Raw genomic sequence first — 26,989 nt, forward strand, 5'->3', positions numbered from 1 at the left:
GCTTAGGCAGTAGTTGATGAATGTTTAAAGAATCAATGAATAAAAAATACCAGTAGTTTCTGGTTATTACTGACAAGATGGCAGACTAGCACAAGATGGGTGAATACTGGGGAGGCAGTATTTACCCTTAGGACAAAAGATAGAGGGAGCTATAGATTTGAGGAATTAAATCTATCAACGCAATCTATCCATCATTATAAGAAGTCTGGGAAACATCCTTGTGGGATGATGACACCCTGTGGCCAAGAGTGGCCAGGCACAGCATCAGAGGATAATTTGGGGAGGGACCCAGCTAGTGCATCTCCTGGACATTGTCTTGCAAGAGTCATTGTCTGTACCATACCATTTGCCAGACAGAAACCAGCAGTCACAACATATCTATATCAAAGATATGTAACCAAAGGCAATAAAAATTAGCGATAAATAACAAGAGGAATTTGAAAAAAAAGTGTCTAGAAACCAAGTAAAAGACTACTAGATAATGTATACTAAAAAGGAAAGAAAAATTATAAGAGAATTTAAGCTGAATAATACATGTCAAAATGTATGATACATTTGTAAGGTACCATGTAAAAGGAAAGTTATTTTAAGTAGGTCCATCAAGAAAGAAAAAGGGTTAGAAAAAAATCGAGCCAATCATTAAGCTCTAAAAAGGCCACAGAGGAAACCCAGTGAAACAGAGGAAGAAAATAATCAAGAAGCTAGTAAAAACCAATAGAAATCAAACCCACCAAAAAAAATTAGGAAAAATTAAAAAACTAGAAGCTTTAAGGAAGTTGATAGATGAATAGACTCTGACAAACTAATCCAAAATGAGTGAACAAAATTCAGAGTAAGAATGACATTATAAGAACAAGAGAGGAAGAGAATAGAGGAGGATGGGAGAGAAAAAGAGAAAGAGAGAGATAATAGAAATAACCAAAAAACAGAAGTTGACAGAGAAATAACTGTTGACACATAAAGAGATTAAAATGATAAAACAATATTATGAGTACCCATTTGGTACTGAAATTGAAAACCTAGACAAAAGATGTTATTTCTGGAAAAATATAAAAATTTCAAATTGGTATAAAAGGAAATTAAAAACGAATATATTTATAAGTATTAAAGAACTTGAAAAGGCAAGTCTCTTCCTCCCCCAAATTCCCTAGCCGTATTGATTTTTAGTTGCATTCCACTTAACCATCATGAAACAAATAATTCATACCTTTTAAGTAAAAACAGAGAAAGAAACAAATCTAGTTTCCATCTAGCATTATATTCATTCCAAAATTAGGTAAAGATAGTAAAAAAATTATAAGCCTATTCAATTATGAATATATGTGCAAATTCCAAAATGAGATATTAGCCAAATGAAAAACTGTATTAAAATATGATAAAGTAAGATTTATCCAGATTTATAAAGATGATTTTAGTACAAAAATGCACCAATTCACTATACTAGTAGACTAACAAAGAGAAAGCATATAATTATTTCAAGAGAGAGAGGAAAATAAATTGAATATACATTTTAAAACTTATTTATGATTACAAAAGAAGTGCATTCCTAGAAAACTAGAAGTAGAAGAGAATATCCTAAACTTGGTGATGGTTATGAACCAAATACCTAAAGTAAACATTATGCTTAAATATTACATTTAAGGGAAAACCTTTACACACTGTCCTTTTACAGTAAAATTATATACAATTTTACATATAATTCATATAAAATACCGAATTTCAGGGGAATCACAAAATTATAAGAAGTCTAAGAACTGCAATATTAGATATGCTTTGGGTATTACTATAAATCCTAGCAAGTTCTATAAAGAAAAAAGAAAGAAAAAGTGTAAATATTAGAAGGGAAAGAATAAAACTACAATGTAGATAACACAATGGTCTAAAATAGAAAAAAATGGAATTAACAGGCAAACTATTGAAACTAACAAAAGACTGTGATGAAAGATCAATTTATAAAACTCATGAAGATCTCTCTGCACCAGAAATAACCAAATAACCATCTACAGAATATAATCAGTAATAAAATACTTTTCATACTAGAATAAGAAACCTGCAAAGACTTAAGAAAGAATGCACAAAACCACACTAATAAAAATAGTATATAATATTAACAAAAAATAGACAAAATGAAACAAAGTAGAGAGACTCAGAAATTCTCCAAAGCATTCAAGAGAACTTAACATACGAGTAAGTTTATATCACAAGTCAAAGTGATGAGTAATGTCACAGCATACATTAAATAGACAAAAATAGTTTAGTAGATAGAAAAAATAAAATAACACTGGATTTCCACCTTTTAATACCACATACAAGAGTATTCCAAATGATTAGACCTTAATATGAAAAATAAAACTATGAAGTTAATAAACGTACAATGTTTCCCTTGTCATTTTTGACATCTTATGATAGCAGTGGAGGCCTAATTATTACTTTGAAAAGTAAAATAGGCCTAGGGGATTGGGTTGGGTAATAATGAAATCACAATTCAGAGACAGACCAGAGCACATGAAACATGATGGAAATTAGTTTGTCCAAACAAGTATAAAAGAAATTCATTCTATCATAATTTTTTTTAATATAAATACAAAATTTGATGAAAACATTTTTTAAATGTTACATTTAAGTATACATGTTTGAATTTAAGATAAATTATAAATGGAATTTTCAAAAGGTTATGTACAGCAAAAAATATGTACCTCAAGACTTATTTTACTTTCAGTGTAGCTTCATTTATGATAAGAAGTGATGACCTCTATAGAAAACAATTTCATTTTGACCACTAATGCCTTCATGGGGAAAAGAGAAGTGGCGTAGAAGTCAGGAGCCTAATTTTGCCTCCAGTCAATTAATAATTAAGACTCTGATCAAGTCACTTACCCACTCTGGGCTTCATTTTCCTCACACATGAGTGAGGAAATTAATCAAAGTACTGATTAGTGTTATCAATATTTTTGGGATTAGAGCTCCCTTTTAGCTCCCTCCTTCTCTCCCAAAAGTGTGCACAAGATTATACACATAAAATTGTAAAACAAATGTCAGAGTATCCACAGACCTCCAAAAGGTCCCTGTACCTCAGATTAAATACTTCTAAACTAGAAAACACATATAATTCCCTTCAACTCTAAAAGGAAAACAAATAGAGGAATGTGTCAAAGCAGATTAACAAATTTTTGGTTTGTGTATCAGAAGGCACAGAATGGTCACTTAAAGACCACACTGAAATATAAGCAGATGTTGTCAAATGACAGAGAAGGAGGGAGATTAAAAATTTTGGGCTTAATTTAGACATATTAAACCAAACACACCACTTACATATTAACATGGAAATTTCTAGTAGGGTCTGTGTATACCAGTAGGTATGGCACCCAAAGGAGAAGTCCATGCTATCGATACAAATTTGGGAGTCATCTTCCCATAAATCATCATTGCATCATGGTGATGAGATCTCTGGGTGGCATGGAGATGGTGAGAAGGGAGACAGAGAAGAACTAAAGTAACTCCAGTATCTAAATGGTAGGTAGAGAATTATGAACCTACAAAGGAAACAAAAGGAAGAGCCAAAGCGATAAGCAGTGTTGTGTCATAAAATCAAGGACCCTAAAAGCATCCCTTCTGGAAAGATTTAAAAAAAAAGCTACTCTTTCCTCTGCCTGACATTGGTCCACGCTTTTGTACAAGTATTGGACAAGGGCTCACACATTAGATTTTATTTCCTAATTTAGGCACAAGCTGAACAGCCATATGCAACAACCCTGCACAGAAGCAAAAAGGAGGTGTGTTTCAAGTCACAGTAGTCATCAGTGTCAAATGCTGATAAGATGTGGAAATAAGCAAGGAAAGAAGTACCTACTGGATTTAAGGGCATAGATAGAAAATAGTGGAGACCATTGAAGGGGCTGTTTTGGAGGCATGCTGAGGACAACAAGCCAAATTGGCATGTGCTGAGATGTGAGAATCAACAGAAAACAAAAAATGAAACACTGGCATAAAAATATACACCATTCAATAAGTTCAGCTGGGTAGGTTGATAGTTGGTTAAACATAAGGAATAACTTTGTGGCCATGTCATTATTGTTTTTAATTAAAGGAACTCTGGCAAGTTTAAAAAGTAATGGGAAATGTATAATTGAGAGGGAGAGATGTTGAATGTCCAAAAATAAAAGGAATAATCATTAATATAATATTCCTAGCAAGACTGCAGGTAATAGAGCCCAGAGCATGGAATGGAATAACTGTCCTAGGATAGAAGGGATAGTTCCTCTACTATTAGAACAGAAGGGACGTCAGATAAGATGGGTTCAGTGTGGACAGGTTTATATCCCTGGCAGCAGGAAAATGAAGGAGCAGGAAGATTAATAAATTGCAATGGCTTTCCTTTCCTCTGTCAAGAAAAAGACAAAGACATTTATTGAGACTGATAGTCAGGAATGGGTGATGTAACTGGGGGGTTTAAAAAAAAACACAAAAAATAAAGTTATACTAAGAATGTACTGTTAAAATTAGAAGTCTTAGCAGAGAATCAAAGGAGAACTGTCAGCCAGTACTAAAGGTCTATTGAAAGCTGTCTTCATGGATATTCAGTAGAAATAAACTGCTCTCTTGGGTGACTTCCTCAAATGGTTCTAGGCTGGTTGGTTACAGCAGGGAAAAGTTGCTAAATGGTCCCCATTAGAGTTGGGGTCAGAAGAAGAACTGGAAAAAAGAAAAAAGACAGAGGAGCAAGAGTGTTCAGGGTATTTCCAGGAGTGTCACTGCAGTTATAAAACTGTAATCTAAACTAAATAACAAGGGCAGTGAACAAAAGACAGATGGATTGAAAGAAAGTATGTATTGAAAGAAAGTTATATTAGAGTAATTACACAAGTTGGAAAGGGAGTATGTTATGGCCCATGAAATTCTGAACTAATAGTTCTAGAGGTGAAGCAAATATGTGTACATAGCATATGGCCTATCTTTGTTGTCCTGAATTAGTGACCAGAAAAATATGTGGAGCCAAATGGTGCTCCATCACCAACCTTTTTGTCTCCCCTTGGTGATCCTTCTACCTAGAATGTTTATTGGTAACCCTCCTTCCATGAGGGCATGTTTTGAAGACAACAGTTGTAAAAATTCTCATGGATTTGGCTATGACCTTAATATCCAACGTAATATAATAAACCAGACTCACTATTTCCCTCCTGCTCCTAAATCAGTTTTTCCTCTCAACTTCTATATTTCAGTAAGCTCCCTTAGGCACTAACCACTGAAGCATTAGACTCACCTTTTACTCCACCTCCCCACCTCCCTTGCACTCAGTAATCACCAGTCTATAAGCCCTGATGGTTATTTCTCTTTCTTTTTTTTTTCTTGTCATCCATTGCAGACTCTACGATTAATTACACAGAATATTTAGGAGAACCTATGAACTTATTAGAAGTAAAAAATGAATACAAAATCATTATATAAAAACAAACTGTACTTCAATAACCAAATTTTTAAAATATAACTTACAATAGCAATAAAAACTTTACGATACGTAAGAATAGGTATTAAGCAACCACTGACAAAGTTAATCCCCCTTAATTTTTAAAATTTGTTTTAGTTTCTTTTAAATTAATAAACTATTTTAGAGCAGTTCACAGCAAAACTGAATAGAAAGTAGAGAAAGTTCTGATACACCCCCATTCTCACAAAAGCACAATAATTATTTCTTCAGTTTCTCTCCTATCCACCCCTTTTCCCAAAGGCCTTTCTTGTTACAATCCACTCCCTTCATGTCTTCTCTTGTCTCAGTATCTTTAATATTTGCTATTATCTTCGGGATAAAGATCTTACTTATTTTGTTTCCCCACCTATATTGTAAATCCCCTAAGCTAAGGATGATATCTATGATACAAACATTTTGATACCCTTCCTTGAAGAGTTTAGCCTATAATGATTACCCAGTCAAAATATGTGAATTTGATACAGTCACTAGAATCTGGCAATGCTGAGCTTCATAAAAAAATTTAATTTTAAAAACAACAACAACAAAAAAAACCTTACTCTATGTCTTCCAAAGAATATTCTAGTCTCCTGTATCCAATTCTTATCAGGGTATCTTTTGACAGATATACTCAGGTGACCAGAAATACATGGCATTTTTCAGCCATTCCTCTAAGATGGTCTTTTGGATTTTCTTAACAAAACTGGGATTTGTGACCCTAGCATTTTTCAGACTGATGTTTCCTCCACATTACTGTATTGATTCTGTTAAATGATTTGTAATTTTTTATTATTTGTTCCACGACACCTTGACAGTTTGGCTGTTGGTCAAAAAAGTGGCTAAAAGTTGAGAGCTTGAACATCTGTAATCTCTGGAATATAAGAGCATGGGCTTCCCTAGACAAAATTATGAAATACGGTACATGAGATTTGATTTTCACAAAGCTCTGCTTTTACGTGTTCTTCTCAAATTCCTTTCCCCCTATATCTAACTCAGGTTAAAATGTCTTTATGTCCTTTCTCTCTTTTATCCTTATTAAAACATTTTATTGGAGCCAGTATTTTATTCCTATATCTACAATCTACTATATAGAAATAGATATTATTTATTAGCTCTTATTTTTTAATAATTACAATTTATTTTAATTATAAAATAAAAAGCTGCAACTAAAAGATTTGTAAAAAAAATTATTTATATCCAGTATCCTACAACATAGATATAATTAAGTGCATTTCCTTCCATGTTTTTTAATGAATGGATATTTATTTGCTTCTTTCTAAATATGGTTAATAGCATTCTATACATACAGATCTCTGTCCTCTTTTCACTTAATAGTTTAGCAAAACCATAATCTTTTTCAGAATCCTCTTGTTTATATTAGACGTGTTCTAAAACAATATGGGAAGTGTCTTAGAGAATAGCCCAAGCACTATTCCCCAGAGATCTGAATTCAGTAGGGAACAAATGCTCAATTTTTACCAGCATCCCAGGTGATACTACTACAGGTACCTCAGACTAATACAGCTTTATTTATTTCTTTACCCATCCTGGAAGAAGCAACTGGTTGCATTAACTACGCTTTTATCAGCATTAACTAGCTCTGATCTGTTCTTCATAACACCCACACTAAGAATCCACAAATGAGGTCAATCCCATTATCTTCCCTCTCTATTTATGTAACCACACCAGACTACCTCCAGTTCTGCAATTTGTTACCATTGCAAGTTTATAATTTTCTTTCATTATCTCTAAAATCACTAATAAACTCCTAAGTGGCAAATCTAATTGATATTTTTAGTCTTAATCTACAATCAACTCTCTGGAGCATTTGTATTGTTAAGTACACATTCTTTGCACTTAAAACTTGTTTCGCCCATAGCTTCCATAACCACTCTTCTCTTCTGTTACTTCTAATGTCTGACTGGCCCTTGTCAATATCATTTCCAGGCTCCTCTTTATCACCATTCAAGAACCTCAGCACAGTTATCTTTCTCTCCAAATTCACTGATTATTTATCTGACCTCCAGAGCTTGCATATGGAACATTTCCACCTGAAACTTACACAGATACCTTAAATTTTAATGGATCTAAAATTGACTTTATTATTTTCTCCTTAGGGACAGAAGCAGGGACTCACTCATCCAGTATATCCTCTCTAAGATAAAGCCATCACCAACTCTGGAGTCATTACCTATATCTTTTTCTCAGTCTTCTCCACATCCAATAGATCACAAAGTCTGACCTAAGACATAGGAGCAGATGATCTAATCAGACTCCCATGAATTGGAGATAAGAGTATAAACTTTCACTAATAATTTCAAAAGTGCAGGACTAGATGAAACAAAGAAAGGTCTGGGACATCCCACTTGGTTTCCCAGTTTCTTCTGTCCCACATGGGACCCAGAATGACTGATGAGAAATTCAAGGAAGGTTTTATGGAGCTCTTCACAGATGGGAGTATATAAGTCTGCATTTTACACTCCCAAAGAAAAATGAATAGTTTATATGATATTCTCCAGTGAGCCATACCCCATAGATTCTGTACTTATTTACTACAAGACATCTGATAAAGGCCTTCACTAGATACAGTCTCTTCCTCCTAGAAATATCATTCATCTTTTATTTGGCCAGCCAGTTGACATGGAGATTAGACTGGGTCACCTATTTCCTTATTTTTTCCACCAAGACATACCCCTGGTAAAAGAAATGAATCAATCACAGGCCAGCTGCCAGTTGTCTGACTTCCTTCCTCCCAAAGTTCATTTGATTATACCACCTATATAGCACTAGAATTTGTCCCTTACTCCCTATCTCCACTAATGTTCATCTGACTCATCCCTAGCCTCAATGTTTTCAATACCCACCAACTATCCAAACACATTTAGTTTCCCCAATTCTATGTGCAGTCTGCTGCCACAGTTGCTTTTTGAAAATGCACATTCTGATATAAAATCCTTTTCCTGATATTGAATGTGCTACATCATATTTCCTTTGCCTACATTTCCAGATTTTTCTTCCAACACTTCCCCTGATATCCAGCCAAATCAAACTATTCCCCGAACATGCCATTTTTGCATGAACTAGCAAAGCTCCCAAGCTCTCTTACATGAATGCCCACATTTCTGTCAATAATTTGCAATGTCACCTTTTCTCTAATGCCTTCCCTGAACTCTCCATTCAGTTCAAGGCAATTACCTCCTTCTCTATTTCACCATAACTGTCTATAAATAACAAGTAAAATAGTTAACTTTAGTGAGCCTTGACTTTGCAAAAGGTACCATGCCAAGTGCTTTCTATGCGTCATATCATTTAATCCTTGGGGCAACTCTCTGAAATATGTACTATTATTCTGATAATTTTACAAAAGGGAAACCAAAGTACAGAGTAAATAAATGACTTAGCCAAAGTCACACAGTTATTAACTAAAGGAAATAGGGTATAAATGCAGCCCTGGTTTACTCGAGAACACTCCTAAACCCAGTCATAAGATGTCTATACTCACCCATCACACAGCTTCCCTACTTAAATCAATAAATATTTGCTAAGTGACAACTTGCTGCCAGACATAGTGTGAGGCTTTAATGAGCATGGAGAGCAAGTTGAACAAAAAAAGAAAGCACTGTCTCTAACTGAAGAAATCATCAGTTTTAAAAGCCTACCTAACATACCATCTTTCAATACTTCACACAAGAAATAGTACTGTCAGACACAGTGCAAGACTTTACTCCATAGGGAAAAGAGACCAGATCTAGTGTGAAATTATCGCCCTTAACTCGACTGGCCAGAATGCCCACTTCAGGATTAACAAGGAATTTCTCTGAGGAGTTTGAAGTCACCTAGTAATTGCTGTCATTCATGGGATTTTGTGGGATTATTTATTACAATTTACAGGCATTATCACTGTCCATAATTGTACTCTATCTACCCTATATCTTGCACTTCACTGATTTAATTCATACTCCAATGACAGGAGAAAGTTATTCACCTGGCAAATAGCTTGCATAGAACTTTCAACTTGTATCTTACCTAAATTATGAAGAGTAGAATAGCTTCTAATCTACTTTCTTCCTTGTTTTTTACTTCGAAGCAATTTATGGGCTCTTTTCACTACTGATTCAATTCATATAGTACAATTCAACTGAGATGCTAAAAACACCTAGCAAGTGTCTTCTCTTTTATGCTCACATCATTCCTCAAATGGGAGATGGGGAAATAACCTCAAGGAATTTAAGTGATTTTCATGAAATTAATAACTATAAAGTGGCAAAAACAAAAGGTAAGCCAAGATCTCTGATTTTCTCTAATCCTTGCCAGAATCCTCATGCTCTTTATCACAACTACAATTGTCTAACAATTTAACAGATATTCTTTTATTCTAGACTCTAATATGACCATTTCAAAATTATACACTTCAACAATATAAATATTCTCCAGGTATTTTTTATTATCCAAACTGAAATCCTACTTCTTGTACTTTTCCGAATTGATAACTTGCAAGTAAGCACTGAAAATTATGAGATTAAAATTACCAGTCTCATTTCTATGACATACACATTAATACGTAAAGAAATGCCATAAGGGGAGTTATGCAACGATGTTTTTGCAGAAATGAAATGTGTATGAATATGAATACAGTTGTAGGTATTTCAATAAAAATTACAAGCCTATCAGATATTCTTTCCAAATTCAAATGAAGCACCAGGTGTGCAGGATATGGCAGATGTGCCTGCTGTATACTAGCATGAGGAGGCTAGGTGGCTACAAACCAAATTTCCTGATCCCATTGAGATGGGCTTCTATAGGTGATCGGTTGTCCTCCCACTGTGAAAACTGGCTATGAATAAGAAATACTTAAGCATTTGCCCTGCCTTTCCTCTGTGAACAATATTTTAAGCAGTTCTTCAGGGAAAGTTCTTCCAGCTAATAAATATGGAAAACACAAATTAGAAAACCACAGTTTTGTATCCCTTATGGTAATACTTGAATCAGGCAATTGTATTCAATCATACAACTATCAAATAAATGTTTGATGCGAAGTTACAATGGAGGGATTTGACTGACACCACTCACATCAACTGATTAGTGGGGCAAATTGGCACAGAATCACCTATAAATAGTCTTGCCTAAAAACAAAAGAGTCTTGCCTAAAAACAAAAGAAGTTGAATATAGTCATGGTCGAGTCAATGTCCACTTACACAAAATATTGGTACAGAAGAACAATTTAAATGATACTACAAGAAAGCAAGCAGCCATATATTCAGAACAGGGGACATTAATCAGCTCAACAAGACCTCCTTCTGTAAACAAATTGATGGCATTACATGTAAAGAGAAACAGAGATGGATGGAGTGAGAGTCAAAGAAGAGAGACTATCTTATATTAACAGAAAAAAAGACATAAAAATAAGATTTATAGTCCTGAGCTTTATTTTTAAAAAGGCTATATTTTTGAGACAAACTTAGAAATATGATTATGAATGATGTATCAGATATTGACAAGAAATATTATTTATCTTGTTAGGGTTGATAATGGAATAGTGGTTATGTTTTTAAATATGCATTTTTAGATACTAAAGTATGTAGGGGTGAAATAATATTTGGGGTTTGCTTTAAAGTTCTTCAGCAAAAAAGAAACAGACATGAAGTGATGCTTTGGTTATTGTTGAAATTAGGAGGTGTATATGTGGGAGTTTTTAATAAACAATTCTTTTTCCTTGATGTTTAAATTTTCATACTAGAAACTTTAAAAAAAATGACAATAACATCTAAGCAAAGACTACAAAACTGCAGCCTTAGCAAAAGGTACGACTGGTGCTCTTTCACACAAAGGCCACTGCTCTGCTGACAATGCTGGCACCTTCCTCCAAAACCATTAATTTAAGAGGATAAAATGAATAATTCACAGAGGCCATAAAATAAAGAGCCTTCAACCCTAAATATTACATTACTCTAGATTTTTGTTTCCCTTAATTCACTCATGAAACTGTCCAGAAGTGCACAATGATTTTGAAAGTTTTTTTTTTTTTTTAACCAAAGAAACTTCAAGATTGGCCATAAATAGCCTGGGTTATTTAACCCTTAAAGCAACTCACAAGTCCCATACCTGCAAGTTGGAAAATGAGCTGTGTATGTCTGCAGAGGCAAGGAGAGTATACACTGCCCAATGTGCCTCAAGAAGTGGCCAAGGAGCACTCACAGGAGCCTCACAACTTGTATCTTATGTATCTATTAGGCATGTCATTCACCTACCATGTGCAGTCTAAAGTCAGGCAATGCACATATCTTACAAATGTCATCGTCCCAGTCATGAAAGGTAGGAAATATGTTCACTACTGTTTACTACCACACCTTCAATATCTAAGAGGCTGCTTAGTTTATAATATCGGTTAATGAATGCATGAATAAATATAAATGAACTGAAGAAGAGATATGATTCAGTACCTTAAAATTAATCTAATCTGGATTTCCCTCAGTTTGATAGTTTTTATGTTTCTGATTTTTTTTGAAAATCGTTAAATGAAATAGAGCATGAAAAGGTGTTTCACCTCAGTAAATGTTTTATTAATAGCAATATACTCAACACATTTTTAACAGAAATGACAGCCTGACACCCTAAAGTAAGGACAAATACTCTATTTTTATTTAGCACAGATTACTTGGCACACAATACTTATGGCACTACATGGAGATAAGGTGAAAAAGACGATCAATTTCTACCATTTTCTCCCTAAAGAACTGAGCTATAGAAAAGTAAAGAACCACAAAATAAAACAAATCTACACAGTGATGAAGGTTAAGAATATAGCCCAAAGACTTTGATTCTAAATCTCTTTCTCTTTTACTCTAAACGAGAATCACCATTAGAAGGATTCATCCCCAAAACCACCATATAAATGATACCAATAATTTGCGACCACCACACCTGCTACCTCCCACCACTCACTATAAAGCTGCCACTGTAGCAACTTTTCTTATCAAAAGCAAAAGTCACTTTGGAATCATATGTATGAATCCTTACAAGGAGACATGCTAGGTGCAGACTCACCAACCAGAAGAAAAGAGATCAGAATATTGGAGAATTATTTCTGAATGTCTGCCAGCATCTGCCTCAGATCTCTCTGGTTTCTTCAAATACCTGGACTTTGAGCAACTAGAAAACTTATATTGAAGATATGTCAGAGTGGTTTCAATTAGAGCTGATTGACAGCTAACATAGTTTTCTTAAAATTGTGAAGATATGTATTTGAATCCAAAATCTAGCCTGAAATTTTGGCCAAATGCCTAGACTCTGGGCAGTATTTGAGCCCATCTGGCTCTGTGACAATTTGTCATTTTGCATAAAACTGTTGAAACTGCAAACTAAAAGCCCTCATCAGAAATATAAATAAAGATTATGATTAAGAAGTGCCTTGCCCCAGAGTTTGAGACAATTTCCATTGACTATAAGTATTATTTTTAATTGTGTCATAATTAACCAGTGACCAGCACTGGACCTGGAAGAGTACATTTTTCCACCTAATCAATGAAAAACCAACCAGAATAGACTTATTTTAAAAATACATTACAATTTATTTTATACTTAGCAGGTCAATAATTTTAAAAAGTAAGAACTCATTAATGATAACAGGACCTTTTCAGGGCAGCTTTTAGATAGGAGTTGCTTTCAACTTCCTTAAAAAGAAAAAGAGAAGAAATCTGGTACTGAGAATTATTGTAAAGAAATGGGATTGCCTATGCATTATTGTGAGGCCCTTAAATTAGTAAGTGGCAAAAGCTAACATGTGTTGAGCTTTTAATTGTGTCCCTGATACCATCTGTGCCTGATACCATTCTAACTGTGGACTGCTTTATTTGATCCTCATAACAAAGCTTTAAAGTGAATACAATTGTTTCTCTCACTTTCCCTTCAGGAGGGAGCATGAAATTATTTTCCCAAGATCTTAAAGCTACAGCCAGAATTTTTCAAGGTATCTGATTTAGAAGTATTAAAACATTCATTGTGTTCAAGTATTCACCTCTTAGGAGTAGAGGCCAACAGATTCTGGCATTGTCACTCCATAAACACAGTACTACTCTCCCTATTTTACTTATACCAAAAATTAGAAAGCACACCTAATTATGCCAAATGATGAGAAAGAGCAATATAATATGAATCCTATTCTCAAGATTTTTGATATTGTAACTGGTGAAATCAACCAAAATAACAAAACTGAGTGGTTAAATCATTCACTATTCTGGTGATATTAAGTCAATACTACATATTTCTTTATTATATTAGTTTCTTCCATTTTATTTGCTTTTTTCCCCGATAAAAGCAGGGTTTAATGAGAGACTGGTTACAATATGGTAGAAATAATATTCCAAGTTAACTTTTGAACATACATTTAACTAAGTTTAATGTTGAATAAGCACAGAACTAGTTAAGTGTCCAGTTAGGAATCATGAAGCTGTCTGTTGTTATTACCAGCAAAGTTGGTTTATTTTTATTAACTACTTTGACACAAGGTTAAGAAATATAAGTAAAACCAATATTGTAATATTATTAAACAGTAATACCTGTTAAGTATATTTTAAGATGCCTTTTAAAAAATGAATCAAGATTGTAAGATAGAATTAACCAGATCCTTACTTTTACAGATACCTTATCAGTATTATCAGATACTTCCTACATTTAATTTACATAATAAAGCCTATGTCAGGAGGCAATATTCTCTTTGCATCTAAGATTTTTTTAAAGCAAGTACTTAACACTACCTATGGTATGTTGGGGTATGGAATATTTGCCCAACACTCTAAATTAATGAAGTCAGTTAATTTTTGATCCCTTACAACTTCTAGTCCACCAATCATTTATTTTTATTTATTTATTTATTTATTTATTTATTTATTTATTTATTTATGTTTTTGACAGAGTCTCACTCTGTTTCCCAGGCTGGAGTGCAACGGTGGGATCTCGGCTCATTGCAACCTCTGCCTCCTGGGTTCAAGCAATTCTCCTGCCTCAGCCTCCCAAGTAGCTGGGATTACAGATGCCCGCCACCACGCCCAGCTAATTTTTTGTATTTTTAGTAGAGATGGGATTTTGCCATGTTGGCCAGGCTGGTCTTGAACTCCTGACCTCAGGTGATCCACCCACCTCAGCCTCCCAAAGTGCTTGGATTACAGGCGTGAGCCACCGCACCCAGCTTCCACCAATAATTTAAATATAAAGAAGTGTGTGTGTGCACCTTTATGTGTGTGTTTCCAAATCTAACAACTTCATTTATAACATTATTTTAATCTGTTCCATATTTTAGTTAACATTTTACTTATTTTCATTTCATATAGGTGCTTATGTAACAACTTCTCATGTCATTACTCCTGCTTTTTGCCCTCTTTTTAAAATACTAAGTAACCTCTCTATAACATAATTCACAATTATATAAAGTTTATTGTGATCACCTTAAATACAAGGTCTCTGTCTTATTCATATGTGTATGTCTTACCCACGCTTTAGCCTGGTAGGTTGTTCAATAAATGCACTTTATCTTGAAGTGAAACTAAACCTCAAATTCAGTAACAACCTAATGGAAATTCCAACATCTCTAGTTCATTCCTTAATTCACACTTTCATTCAGAAAACAAATATTTTTTAAGTTCTTAATGTGGCCTTAGCCTCTGCCCTGAGGGGCTGAGAATACCACTTTCAGGCACAGAGACAGAAACCTACTGTAGAAGATCAACATGCGAAAAGATCATTACAAATTGTAGGAAACACAATGAGGGACCTATCCTAGTGCACACAGAAAAGACAGAGAAGTGTGAAGGATTCTACAGCAGGGGTTCACTTAGCATTACATGACTATGATGCCAAGAGGTACCCTGAAAAGCCAATGGGTCAGGGAATAAACTTATAAATGATATACACTCAGCACAGAATACTTCATATATTTTCACTTTTTTAAAAAAGCAAAATACAACTAAATTTGTATGACAATCAGACACTAATCAGAAACTGGTATCATTAATAGAAACTAATAATGAGACATATATGGCTGATAGGCAGATGACACCTATATTTTCCATTATACTTACAAATTATAAAGTAGCTAATTTACTTGTTGGAATGACTTTGAAATCTTGTAAATAAAATTATTCTGATCTTTAGGTAAGTCCTTGCAAAACCTCTGGTGGTGCAGACTCATACTACTACTAAAAAAAAAATACACTTTAAGTCAGTTTATCGAGCCTACAGGTATTACTGTTTTATCAAACCTATAACTTGGTTACCCTCAAAAGTGTTAAATGGACTCAAATGCTTTATTTTCTTTAACTATAAAAATATTCATGAATACGATAGCATTAATCCATAAAATAACCCTTCCAGCAAGACATAAAGTATATATTTACTATATTTCTATGGAAATTTAACATAAATTTTAAAATTTTGAGTTCACTCATATACGTTTCAGACCACACTTTTTTGCTTATAAACAGAAGTTCTAAGTACTCAGTAGACACTGAAATATATTTGCCAAATTGACTGCCAGAAACAGGCATTATTTTTCAACGTTTTAAGAGTAAGGGCTTTGAAATAAGACAGAACTATTCAAATCCCAGCTCAGCCCTATACAAGCTCTATGAACCAGGGATGTTACTTAATGTCCTAAATCATAGTGTTCTAATTGAACTATTAGGGAACTAATGTCAAGCTCAAGGAATGTTATAAGAAATAAACAAAGTAATGTATGCAAAACACTTAGCATAAAATTAGGTGACAATAAATGTGATAGTAAATTTTTTAACAGATTCTGTACCTTGAAATAATCAAATTTTTTTCTGGGCTTACAAACAAAATATTCGATACCAATATTTATAAAACTGTGGCAATGTATATGTATTGTACTTTTGTTATTTAAGATGTCAATAAAAATGTTAATGTCATGGGGGAAATTTCATTAAATGTGTAAACTTATTAAATGTATAAAACCAAATAAACCAAAAAAAGATAGCATATAAACCAGCTATATAGTATGACCATGACTTTTTAAAAATATGTCTTTTTATCTATGTGTACACAGAAAAAAGACTGGAAGGAAATGAATTAAGATTTTATTGGCACTTACTAGTGGTGCTGATTAAAACTGCACTTTTTTTTTTAACAAAAGTCCCTAAAACTAAATGTACTACTTTTATGATTTTAAAGAGTTATTTAATCTTATTTTTTGTAATGAGAACATTTAAAGATATAGATTATCAATTAACTATATATAAAATTATGGACAGGTATGGCAGCTCACGCCTGTAATCCCAGCACTTTGGGAGTCCTAGGCAGGTGGATCACCTGAGGTCAGGAGTTCAAGACCAGCCTGTCCAACACGGTGAAACCCCATCTCTACTAAAAATACAAAAATTAGCTGGGCGTGGTGGCAGGTGCCTGTAATCCCAGCTACTCGGGAGGCCGAGGCAGGAGAATGACTTGAACCTGGGAGGCGGAGGTTGCAGTGAGCCGAGTCACACCACTGCACTCCAGCCTGGGTGACAGAGCAAAACTCTGTCTCAAAAAAATAAAAAATTTAAAAACTTATTAACTATAAAAAGGGTGACTTTTAAATGACAAGCAGACAATCATTTTCACATTTTTAAACAAATTCCAGCTAATAATTTATGACAGTCAAATAGATAATAATTAAATACTGGTTTTATACATATTTCTTTTTTCCAAAGAGGCTTTTTCTTAACTAAGGTATACACACACACACACACACACACACAAATTGCAAGTCCTAGCATCCTAAGCTACAAGAGAAAGAACCTTGTCAAATAAAGCTTGTAGCCACTCAGTTTTTCAGCTTCATTACCTGCATAAAGATTGACCCACACAAAGCTGAAAAAGGTGGCAGGGAAAGCCAAAGCCATAGCAATACAAAAAAATATAAGTTCAAAGACAGAATTATGCCAGATATAAAAGTTCAATGCCATTAAACAACAATCGGTGTCATAGCACAGCCTCTAAACTTTTTGCACTCCAAGATTTTTGTCATTTTGTCTGCTTTATTACTGGAACTAGCTACATTAAATCAGAATCTTGATGTTTTAAAAAGTTATCCTCTGCTTTTGCTTATTCCTCACTAATTCAAAAGTCATTCAGCCATGTGGCTGCAGAGAAAATTTTCACATTGTAATTGTAAAAATAAGTAGTAACTCGGGAGAAAAATAATCAACTTTTAAAATTGTGGTTAACAAAATTAACTTCCATAAAATGATGTTTGGTAATCAAAGAAGTATTTTTAGGCTCATAAAAGATGCAATTTTAATGGTATTCACCTAAACAGAATGATTTTTAAAGATGTGTCTTAGAAAGCTCTTAAATTCAGCAAGCATGCTAGCCCAGGATTGAATAGCTGTTTGAATATTTTCAACTCAACTAGTTTTCTTCAACTCAACACAGTGAAATAAATCAGAATGAATTTGAAAGAGTGGATATAAAAATTCATTAAGACAAATTACATTTCCCAGCCCAGTTCAGTAACAGCATTAATTCCTAGATCTGGCATTTTCATGTATCAAACAAACAAACAAAAAAAGATATACCAAATTTAAAGAATATCAAGTACAACCTAGAGAAAGGTGTACATTCACACACATACTGCTCAACCAAAATATGGAGTTCAAAACTTGAAGCACTGTTAGAAGAGCAATACATCAGCACTATCTTTTCTGCAAACTCACTGATTATGAGAAAGAAAACATAAAAAGGTAGTTTTTATCTAATGATAATCAACTTGTCACATTCCAGGCATGTTATCTATATTCTATATAATTCATTGCCAACATAAAATGTCTTTTTTTGTCTCCCAGATATTGCTAAAGGCAGCCACAATGACACTCAGCAGACATCTCTTAAAAACAGAAAGCACAATAAATCACTGTTTTTCCCCCAAGAAAGGACAATCCATCTTCAGTATTAGAAGAATAATATAGAATTTAATAGTACCAGTATATGTTGCAGTGTACTAAAAACACTTGATAAACAATGAGTTAAGACTGAGAACAGATATAAGGGTTCATGTAGCCAAATAAAGCTGATATTAAAGTTTAATAGCCTGTATATAACCTTGAGCATAAAAACCCAGTGACTTGGATACAAGCACTTAAGGAGATATGAATCTAGCTCAATATTTATCAGAATATATTGCCAAAGTTTCAAGTCCTAGTGCTAAAACACTTCTTGGCCCTGAATCGGAAATGGGTTCTGTTGGAGTCAATCCAGAAAAACCAATTGGAATATGATTAGCAACCTTTGGTGACTTGGCCTGAAAAATTCAAATTCAAATTCAAAGAAAGAAATTAGTTATTTAATTGGTTATTTCATAATTCTGAAAGTATAGTATGCTATCATTTAATTGCAAAATAATTTTTCCATTAACTTTACAATTAAATTAATTATACTTACTATAAAACAAAATTAAAATTTAATGTTGACGAGAACAATAAAAACAGTAACATATTACAATAGTTAACAGCTAACATTTGTTAAGCTTTTATTATGAGTCAGGCACTAATCTAAGCACTACATGTATATTCTCAAATCCTATAAAACTGATACTGTGATAACTCCTGTAATACAGGTGAGGAAACCAAGACAGAGAACAAGTAAATAATTTAACCAAGATCACACAGTTGGAAAATAACAGTATCTGGGATTACTGAACCATTTGCCACTTTCTTCCCCTCTACTGCAGAAACTCAGGTGTGGTGGGGGTGACGGGGGTTGGGGGGGAATAACATTGATGCTCAAGTGTGTAAACTACAACAGTTTCAACTACTAAGTTCACATGTCACCTGGATTTTAAAAGGTGTTAAAGTGACTGATACTTGTTATACACTAAATAAATGTCACACAACAAATAAATATTTGCTGAAAAAAAGGGTGTCAAAGGGGGAAATAAAAGCTATTAAGGTTATTTTCTGCATCTAAAACATAAGTGGACAAACAAGGTCACCCAGTAACTTTGCTCTTATGAGTAACACCGATAATCTTTTTAAATAGAAACTTGCCAAATAAGATAAACACATTTGGTCATCAACTAAACTGAATACGATGGAAATACATTTTACAGTGTGTTTTCATTCACCAAATATTAAAATGAATCCCATTCAAAATAATGTGTAAAAATATAATGAAAGCTGTAAAAAATAAAATAAATATATGTATTCTAGTACTCAAGACAAATTTTACATCCAACATTTAAAATGACAACTCCACCTGGTTGATCAACGACTAGCTTACCACTTCAAAAGAACAATATTTAATCTGGAATTGCATATTTTCTCCCAAAATAGGTTGCCTCCTTAGATTTCTGGGACTTTTTATGAATGAATTTCAGAGGTCATTAATAATATGAGTACTCTGAAAGTAGTTATTCATAATATGAATATTTAACACTTCTGTAGCTCTAGAAGTGAAACATCCTGAATTTCAAATATCTCTCAAATTTATCCCATTAGCTAAATTAACTAAGTTTCCAGTTTCAATATACTAAGGGCACTTTTTTCCTAATGTAGAGATAACCTGTATTATCTCTTCATAATCAAAGTAATGATCATTTTCATGTCCACATCTTTCTAGAGGAATAAGAAAAACCAAAACCAAGTAAGATTTTCAAAATTTCAGAAAACTGTGCAGAACATTCATGCTTGTATCTTCTCTAACAAAAAACACTAACTACAAGAAAGGCAAAAGTTCATTTTACCTTATCTTCTGAAATGTTTGGAAATCTACATTGAAATGACTTAAATGGTTTAAAATCTAAAAAGTTGTTGACAAAGGTCACAATGATAAGAAATAAAATGGTGCTAAAATACTTAATTACTCAATATATATTTAAGAGATGTCAATTTTATACAAGCAATAAAATATCTTCCCTTGGGTGGCTTTTCTGACCATTAATCTTTTTATTGTGTAACAAGTAATACTTTGATATAATTAAGACAGTTTTTTAGCTTCCAATTCAGTGGACAGACACTTCATTTGCTTCTCTGTTGAAACCGTTGTCTCAAGAAATCCAGCATTACTTTAAAAAGTAGTCTAACTCTGAGAACCTGTGTGCTGTGGTTTGTCACCCAACTTCCAAGGTTACCAGAATATACAAACACTAAGCCAACCTTCCAGTTAAGCTTGCACCTGTGCAAGGAGAGTTCCCTTCCATTTCTCCAGTCAAAATAAAGTCCAGAAAATTGTTCAGTTCCCAATTACTGTAGTGACTAAATTACCAAAATAAATAAATTCAATTTAAGCTGGTCTATTTCCATCACAGGATTTCAAGGCTATTCTCCCTATGCTACAGGCAAGTTTTAACTTGTGTCTGGCCAAAGGAAAAACCTTTGCCAAATAATGTTCCTGCTGCCATCCCAGCTGGCTTTTCGTTTGTCCAAATCGCTCTCTAGTCGTTGTCTTTTCACTTCATAAACGCCACTGAGAATTGTGCCCACCACAGCCCCACCCCACTCCCAATCCCACTCCCAATCCCCAGGTTCAGATTATGGTATTTGGTATAGTTCTTGAACTCCACATAGCCCGCTCCGGAAGCGCACTGCAAAACGCACCCCAGATGCTTTCCCAAATCTATTCCTTCATTCTCTCATTTCAGAAAATCGCTCTATTTATTCACCCTGAGAAAGTGGACTCAACCCCCGCTTTCGCGCTGGAGAAGGAAACACAATCATTCTCTCTTTCTCTTCCCCTCCCTCCCCAACACCTTCCCTCCCTCCTCCCTTGCCCCTCCTAATCTCCAACCCTAAGAGCAGCACTCAGACATGCAAACTTTCTAATTCCTTCCACCCTCCCCTGTCCCAAACACTGGGCAATTAGACTGGAGATAACAGACGCAGGGAAATCTGGGTTTCCATCTGTCAAGGAGTCCCCTTTCCCCACACCCGCTCTCATGCCCCCGCCCCCTCGAGGGGCTCTGGGGGCACCTTTATCGCTTCTCCCCTGCCCTCTAGAAAACCACCCGTAACTGGAGGCTCCCGCGCGGCAGCTGCACCAACAGCAGGTGATCCAGGTGGTGCGAGGCGATGCCTTGTTATGGCATCCTGCCCTCTGCAGGGACACCACTGAGGGCCACATGAAATGACCCCCAGCAGTCCTGCAAAAGCAAAGGGGTGGAGGAGGGTCTATGCACCCTGCCCTGTGCCCCAGTCTCTCCCACCCTGTCCTCCGCAACCGAGGAGACCCTGGCATCTGGGAGCGGGCTGGGCCGAGAAGGCAAGATCAATAAAGTTCAGCAAGTAGACAGCTGGGAGCTGGGTGCTACTGAGTTCTAGAAAGGGGGAGTAGAGACGGAAATATCCGAATCGGTGAAATGTAAATCGTGTCTACTGCATAAGGGAATCGTGCAGGGAGAGCCGCTCTCTATAAGGAGTTAACCAGCGCCTGCCCCGGACACCCCCGCGGGGCCTCCAGCGGGGCTCAAACTGGCGGCGGCTCAGCAGGGGGCGAGGGGTGCTGGGAAACGCCGGGGCTGCGAACTTACGGAAGAAAATGTACTCGGTGTAGCTGCTCCAGATCTTGTCGTCGCGGTACTGGTTGACGAAGGCGGCGGTGCCCGAGGAGTTACACGCCACCATGTGGAAGCCGGCCTCGGACAGGCGATCAAAGGCCTGCTCCAAGTAGGTGAACTTGAGGTAGAAGCGGGACGTGTACTTCTCCGGCTGCCGGTCGGGGTCGCGGCTCTCGTTGAGCGTGTCCCCGAAGACCTCCTTGGCCAGCGCGATGCGCCCGCACACCATGATGCGCGCCACACGCCGGAATTTGGCGTCGGCCTGGTTGTCGCGCACGGTGGTGTAGGAGCCCCGGTAGCCCAGCGTGAGGAAGCCCGAGCGCTTGTCCTGCGCGCCGCCGCCGCCGCCACCACCGTGCGCTCCCGGGCCCGAGGGCACGGCGGCCGCCGCCCCGCGCAGCAGCAGCGCGTCGCTGCTACCCTGCGAGACGTTGTCCTCCAGGTCGCTCTGGCAGCCCTCGTCGTTGAGAGAGTTCTGCTTGGTGACCTTGGGCGACAGCAGCTTGACCAAGTCGGTGAGCTGGAAATACTCGGCCTCGCGCAGCAGCCGCTCCTTCTCGGGGAAGTGCTCCGGCAGCGCGAGTTGCTTGTCCCGCAGATAATCCAGCACGTACCTGAAAAGGAAGCCGTCCCGGTCGATGAAGAAGCGCGCCCGGCTGTCCCTGGGCAGCTCGCCCCGGCGCCGGGCGCCGCCACGGGGACTAGAGGGCGAGAACATGCTGGCCAAAGTACTGTCCGGGACGCTGAGCAGCGTCGAGTGCTTGGTCACATAAACCTGGCCGCCTACGTTCAGCTCCACTACTTCAGGGAAGGGCGAGGGTGCGCAGGGCCCCGGGGCGGCGGCGGCCGACGCGCCGGGCGAGCTGGACGAGGAAACCATCTCGCTAATGGGCAGGATGGTGCTGCCGCCGCTGCCCGTGTCCTTCAGAGCCATAGTCCCCCCGCCGCCGGCCCAGTGACCCGAGAGAGCTGCACTTTCTCGTTCCCGGAGCCCGCGCCCCAGCCCTCCGCGTGCTCCTGGCGCTCTGCGCCCTCGGACTGGGCGGCGCGTTCCTCCGACCGGGGCGGCCCCGCTCAGGGTTCGGGGCAGCGGCGGCGTCGGCGGCGCCCGAGCTCCATCGGAGGAGAGACGCGCGAGAGAGGAGCTCCGCCGGTGCGGCGGCGGCAATGGAGAGGCAAGAAGGAGCTGCTGCTCCTTTGGGGCGAGGGCGGGGAAGTGTGAGAGAGACTTGCGAGAGGCTCTAGGGCTGCTGCTCGGCTCTCCGTGGGGAGGGCGGGAGGAGGGGCCGAAGCAAAGAAAACTCGCCGCCCCGGCAGCTTGCAAGCGTGCCGCGAGGCCGGAGCGCCGACGGTGGCGCTAACTACTCCTGGCAGCACGGGAGGAGGCACTGACGTCAAGCCCCGGACTGGGACCCGAGCCTCAGCTGTCATTTAAAGAGATAGGCTGCAGCCGCGGCTCCCGGGCTCCGACGCTAGGGGGCGGGGCCGAGAGCCGAGCCTGCAAGAGGTGCAGCTCCCCGACCCGCGGGGACAGGCAGGCAGGGAGCTCCTAAAGCAAAAGCGAGAAAAAGGGACAGCGCTCTCATTCCTTCATTTCACTCCCTCCTTGGGTCTGTGCCACCCCCTTTCCTCCCTCCTTTCCTTCTTCTCTTCCTTCCTTCCTTGCCTCCCTCCCCAGTAAAACTAGTTTTTTGCACTTTCATTAAGGTAAGGAGTGGAGGAGCGGAGAGGGGAGAATAAGGTTTTGATTATAGCAAAGATGCCAGGCTCCTAATCTGAAATCACCACAAATGTTGGCTTGCCAGCAGTGATTGCAAAAAGATTACGTGAGGGTGGGAAGGTACATCTCTTGTAGTGGCTTTATGATACAGTTTAAGTGAAGGGCTAAATGCGCGTACCTCTCTTGGAATCAAATTTCACGACTGCGTGCACTGAATATCCTTGAATAATTTTTAAAACTTTGTAATCTGCTTTCAGTTCACAATAATAAAGGAGTGTATGTAACAACTGTTTCCTTCCGACATTTTTACAATTTTTAGTTTTAAATTAGATGCTTAATAAATGTTTATAGAGGGAGAGACGGAGCCCGAGAGGAAATTTACTCGATTTGTTCATTCTTTCTAATCCTGATCAGTCTCATTAATCTCTCCATTTCCCTTTCAGCTCCATCAAACAAGAGAAGTGGCTGATATTTTTATTAGTCTTCTAACCCCAAGAGTAAGGTCACAAATAAAAATTATATGAATTTAAGCTCACCTTAATTTCCATGTGTACATAGTACAGGTACAGTCTGCAAAATGAGCATTACTTGTGATAAAGACTGAAAATAGGAAAGCAAATGAGAAATATTTCTTCTACCCTGGGGCATACATCTGTGTTCAGAAACATAAAGAATCATTGATTTATGAAGTACAAAAGAGAAAAGGGTGTATTGTGGCACAAAGTAGTTTGCTTCAATTATCATAACAATATTACAGATGAACTTTATCCATTAGCAGTCGATATACAGATTTTAATATTTTTTAAAAAGTTAAATGCCTACTAACAACTCCTTTTCTTCAAACCACCCAAAAAAGTATCAAATTTCAGATACGGTTGTAAATTAATACATTATTTTTGGAACATTACAAATTATGTTTAAATCATTGATCCTTATAAGCTGCATCCATAGACAATGTTATACCAATTTTGAAGTTGCATTATATGAAGCAGAGAGAACCTAATGGACCAATGAAAGAACAGAATATATTTGCCAAAGGACTGAGACTTAAAACGGGGGTTTCGGTATGCATCATCATGCAATCCTTTTACTCAAAACTATTGTGTCCTGCCAAATTTATAAACTGATTGATCAAATTAACTAATTTAATTGATTTAGCCTTCATTTAAAAGTTAAAACCAAGTATTAAAATAACAGAAAAAATACACTATTTTCTGCCTCATTAGAAGAATATTCGGGATTTAAAGTAATCGTTCCTGGATAAATGAATTAATAGATGCTTTATAATCTTCATAGATGAATATATAATAATGCCTCAAACCACTACTAGTGAAGCCCATTTATCATAAGGTAAGTGTCCCTAATGATAAGTAAGGTGCAGACTGTAGAACTGTAATGAAGTGGATATATAATAAATATGCATGTGAATATGAAGTCGCTAATATCAGGTTGAAATCCATCTTTACTTTTGAATTAAATAAATTATGTCTATAAGATAAAGTGATCAAAAATTTATACTCTAAATGAATCATCTCAAAAATTCACAATGAATTGTATTGTTTGATATATTCCTTTTTAAAATGATTCCTTCAACTTGATTAAACATTTTTTCTTAATTTCTTCTCTCTTCACACTCCTATTACTCTCCTCTGTCTCCCAGTTATACCCTTCAACCAAACTCAGACTGAACAAATTGCAGATCTACAATGTTTCTATCTTTCCTCTTCCTTCTGCTAGGAATGCCCTTCCTCTTCCACCAGATCCCTAACCCATTCTCCCTGCTTACCAATTTCCTCCAGCTCTTAGTTTAAATATCACTTTCTCTAGAAATCTTTACATTCACTTACCCAACCTAGTGAAGCGTCTTCCTAAGATGTTCCCATAAGATCCCATGTTTATACATGGGCAAGGTTTATCACACTGATGTGTAACTGTGTCCCGCCACGTTGTAAAAATGGCATGCGACCGTATGCACTATTATATCCCCATGGAGGTAGGCTATAGAGGTAGCCCATAAAGAGATAGCCAATTTATATGTGTTGAAAGCTCACTGAATAGAACTGTATTAATATCATAAATAGATGACAATGCATCACCTATGTGCTGGGTACCAGGCTAAATAATGAGATTGCAGGATTGAGTTAGAACTGTTCTTCACAATTAAAATCAGGTAAAGTGAGAACCAGAATCTAATCAAAATAAACTCAGAAATAAAAGAGAAGAGAAAGCAAGAAAGAGACACAATTGAAGCAATCCATTTGGTGAACTGAGCAATCAACACCAAATACCGTAATCAGAACCATTTTGCTCTAAGCCACAGACACCATTAATGTTCCTTAGACCAATTTGATCACATATGTGGGTCCTTTAAGATCTTCTGTTGCTACGCAAAGACAAGGCAGCAAGCTTCTCTGAATAGAAATTACACTAGAACAGTTCCCATACCCAGCACATTTTAAAATAACACGGTCAAACCTGAGTGTCTCTAAAAGCACAGCAAACAAACCAAAAAGGATATATTGAATCCAGATTTTAACACATAAATAATTTAAAATTTATAATAACAAATATTTCTTCACCAGGTAGAGAGTTACTTAAAGGCAGAAAATGTATCTTCTTCTAAAGGGGAGGAAGAACACAAATGATAACGACATTTAGAATCAAATAGAACTAGGTTAAAATCTAACTTTGTCTCTTACTAGCTTTGCAATTTCAGCAAGTTACTCCGAACCTCAGTTTCTTCATGGGCACCATGGAAATAACAAAGACCTCAGCTCATCACATCAATGATGATTTGTAACAAATCCACCTAAGTTTGATGGAGTTCAATATATTTATAATGTGTATTTCACAGTATGGTTCTCAGGGATGGGAACAGAGTTACATCTTGACTAGATAGATCCAAGATCCAGAAGCAGGTAACTGATTTTAGTCGCTCTACCTACCTTCCTTCCAGTTGTCTCACCCCTAAGGCCTGGGGTTACACAGCCCTGTCATTATGAACATCCCCATACCATCATGTCCTTCCCTGTCTGTATCTATTGTTGTCTCCTTCATTGCATGTTATCATCCTAGACACTGATATAATTTCGTTGATTTAATTTACCTTGGCCCTGTTCTTTTTTTTTTTCTTTTAACTTTGTTCAGTCTTTTGACCATGGTCTAATTACCCCTTTTAGCTTGCTTCTGTCCAAGGCCAACTGTGCTTCTAATTTTCAGGAAACCATCTGGTGTCTGTTAATCTAGTTCAGGACATTTGAA

The 26,989-nt window shown here is 36.9% G+C and overlaps 1 protein-coding gene across 2 annotated transcripts in view; it reads right to left on the reverse strand.

Moving 5' to 3' along the window:
* The window catches only part of KCTD8 (potassium channel tetramerization domain containing 8), a 274,907-nt gene extending 251,679 nt beyond the window's left edge, over nucleotides 1-23,228 (reverse strand). For both annotated transcript variants that reach the window (NM_198353.3, XM_011513690.4), the window contains exon 1: nucleotides 21,982-23,228. In NM_198353.3, the coding sequence (NP_938167.1) occupies nucleotides 21,982-22,942 (961 nt within the window). In that variant the 5' untranslated portion in view covers nucleotides 22,943-23,228. The remainder of the gene's footprint in view (nucleotides 1-21,981) is intronic.
* Between the last annotated feature and the right edge of the window lie 3,761 nt (nucleotides 23,229-26,989).

The sequence above is a fragment of the Homo sapiens genome, chromosome 4, assembly GCF_000001405.40.
Source record: "Homo sapiens chromosome 4, GRCh38.p14 Primary Assembly".
NCBI lineage: Eukaryota > Metazoa > Chordata > Mammalia > Primates > Hominidae > Homo > Homo sapiens.